The sequence below is a fragment of the Homo sapiens genome, chromosome 7 (assembly GCF_000001405.40).
Source record: "Homo sapiens chromosome 7, GRCh38.p14 Primary Assembly".
NCBI classification, from domain to species: Eukaryota; Metazoa; Chordata; class Mammalia; order Primates; family Hominidae; genus Homo; species Homo sapiens.
Window position 1 is genome coordinate 16941070 of NC_000007.14, and position 3032 is coordinate 16944101.

A 3032-nucleotide genomic window follows, 5' to 3' on the forward strand; every position below is an offset into this window, starting at 1 on the left:
TCTTCTCAGTTTTTTAATCTGACAAATTCCACATAGAGTGCAGAGCTTTCTTTACCATTTGAAGTACAACTTTAAAGAAAAGGCATAGCCTGATAGGCTAATATTTACTGGATTATTTCAGTAGATGAGGCTGCAGTGGTGGTTTGGTATTGTGTGGACATTAGATGATGGAAACTTGCTTGTAACAGATGCTCTCTTATCAGAGACATATACAGGTTATTAGTGGAGACTTTTAGTCCCAGAATGTCCTAGTGCATGTTTAAGTGTTTATCGAAATACACATGACTGTTCATTGACTTTCCCCTGAGATTATTATGGGGAAAAAAGGCTTGGTATGCCTGAATCTCATTTAAACTCATTGTTTCAAGTTTTACTTTAAAAAAGACATTTTCCAGGAGTGCTAAAATTATTGATATGAAGCATTTTCCACTTTCTTTCTTTAATGATTTAACTTTTTTAATTTTTTCATTTCACAAGAAATCCATGATATTTTGTTGGCTATTGTATAAAATACAGAACAATCAAAACAAGTAAAAAGAAAAGGTAAAATCTGAAATTTAACTATTATTGTTACTCTACTATCCAGGTGGAAAAAGAAACATTGTAATCTTTTGGCTTGTAATACCCACATTTTATTTCTAAGTAAACACACACAAACATAAATGGCAGGATACTTGGCCATTATTATCTTTTTTATTCTCTGCCATATGAATCAGGAAAAAAAAGTAAAGGACTACCTCTTGTGCATCCCATGATGTAGCCACGTGTTGTACTCCAAGATTCTTATTTATGACTTTTGTGTTGACTGGCCAGAAGCAAGAGTTTCCAGGTACTCAGAAGATAATCTCCACCTATACTTTTCTTTTTGGAAAAACCTAGTGTGAGAAAGACACAAGCATACAGTCTTTTGGAAGAAAAATATTTCTTGTAGTTTTTTGTGATTCTTGGTATTTTCTTTTTTTCTTCTCCTTCTCCTTTTCCTTCTCCTTCTTCTTCTTCTTCTGTTGTTGTTGTTGATAAGTTATGGGTCATAGGGCAGGTCATGAAGAGCAATTGTCCCAGAGATTGCCAAGAGCTGTGGCCTTGGGAAATCAATGAAGAATCTCCAGGTGATATAGCAGTTAAGAAGAAATTATTTAGGCAGATAGTGAGGGTAAGGAAGTCCTTGGTAAGGTTTTCCTTTTAATGAAAAGCAACCCCCAAATCATTTTCTTTTCTAACAAAGAGCAGCCTGTAAAATCGAGCTGCAGATATAGACAAGCAAGCTGGAAGCTTGCACTGGTGAATGCAAGCAGCTGTGCCAATAGGAAATGGCGATGTGGGGGCTAGGCCTGTCCAACATGGTGGCTCCATCTTCTCTTTTCCTTGTCAACCACGTGCACAGTAAGGAGTAGGCAACATGGCATGAGTCAGGTAGAGACCCATTTGCGGAAGAAGATTACGGTGGGGTGGGCAGCTTCTTTGCGCCCTATGTAAACATCACACCTGATCCAACCAATCTTTGAGCCCTATGCAAATCAGACACCACCTCCTCAAACCTGTCTATAAAACCCTGTGCACTCCACCACAGGCTGGAAGTCCCACTCAGGTGCCCTTCTCTGTCTCTTGCAGGAGAGAGAGCTGTTCTTCTTTCTCTTTCTTTTGCCTATTAAACCTCTGCTCTTAACCTCACTCTACCTATGTCTGTGTCCTTGATTTCCTTGGCTTGAGGCAATCAACTTTGGGGATTTAACCCAGACAACGACACTGAGAGGTGACAGCGTGCTGGCAGCCCTCGCTTGCTCTTGGTACCTCCTTGGCCTTGGTGCCCATTCTGGCCATGCTTGAGGAGCCTTTCAGCCCGCTGCTGCACCGAGGGAGCCCCTCTCTGGGCTGGCCATGGCTGGAGCCGGCTCCCTCTGCTTGCGGAGAGGTGTGGAGGGAGAGGAGCTGGCGGGAACCAGGGCAGAGCACAGTGCTTGCAGGCCAGTGCGAGTTCCAGGTGGGTGCGGGCTCAGTGGGCCCTGCACTCAGAGCAGCTGGCCGGCGCCACCGGCCCCTGGCAGTGAGGGGCTTAGCACCCAGGCTAGCAGCTGTGGAGGGTGCGCTGGGTCCCCCAGCAGTGCTGGCCCACCCGCGCTGTGCTTGAATTCTCTCCGGGCCTCAGCTGCTTCCCTGCAGGGCAGGGCTCGGGACCTGCAGCCCACCATGCCCGAGCCTCCCCACTGCTGTGGGCTCCTGTGGGCCCGGGCCTCCCCGACAAGCACTGCCCCCTGCTCTGCAGTGCCCGGTCCCATCAACTGCCCAAGGGCTGAGGAGTATGGGTGCATGGCACGGGACTGGTGGGCAGCTCCGTCTGCGGCCCCAGTGCGGGATCCACTAGGTGAAGCCAGCTGGGCTCCTGAGTCTAGTGGAGACTTGGAGAAACTTTATGTCTAGCTAAGGGATTGTAAATACACCAGTGAGCACTCTGTGTCTACCTCAAGGTTTGTAAATGCACCAGTCAGCACCCTGTGTCTAGCTCAAGGTTTGTAAATGCACCAATCAGCACTCTGTATCTAGCTAAACTGGTAGGGACTTGGAGAACTTTTATGTCTAGCTCAGGGATTGTAAATGCACCAATCAGCACCCTGTCAAAACAGACCAATCAGCTCTCTGTAAAATGGACCAATCAGCAGGATGTGGGTGGGGCCAGATAAGGTAATAAAAGCAGGCTGCCTGACCCAGCAGTGGCAACCCGTTGGGGTCCCCTTGCACAGTGTGGGAGCTTTGTTCTTTTGCTCTTTGCAGTACATCTTGCTGCTGCTTACTCTTTGGGTCCACACTGCGGTAATACTCACCACGAAGGTCTGCGGCTTCACTCCTGAAGCCAGTGAGACCACAAACCCACCAGAAGGAAGAAACTCCAAACATCTCTGAACATCAGAAGGAACAAACTCCGGACACACCATCTTTTAGAACTGTAACACTCACTGTGAGGGTCCGTGGCTTCATTCTTGAAGTTAGTGAGACCAAGAACCCACCAATTCCAGACACAACACCACTTCACAGGT

General features: G+C 46.8%; 1 annotated feature.

Moving 5' to 3' along the window:
* Positions 1612-2113: an enhancer, noted in NCBI's record as "H3K27ac-H3K4me1 hESC enhancer chr7:16982305-16982806 (GRCh37/hg19 assembly coordinates)". NCBI's record gives its function as "activates a minimal SCP1, AML or CMV promoter by ChIP-STARR-seq in primed H9 embryonic stem cells {active_cell/tissue: H9 hESC(primed)}" and the evidence as "EXISTENCE:reporter gene assay evidence [ECO:0000049][PMID:30033119]".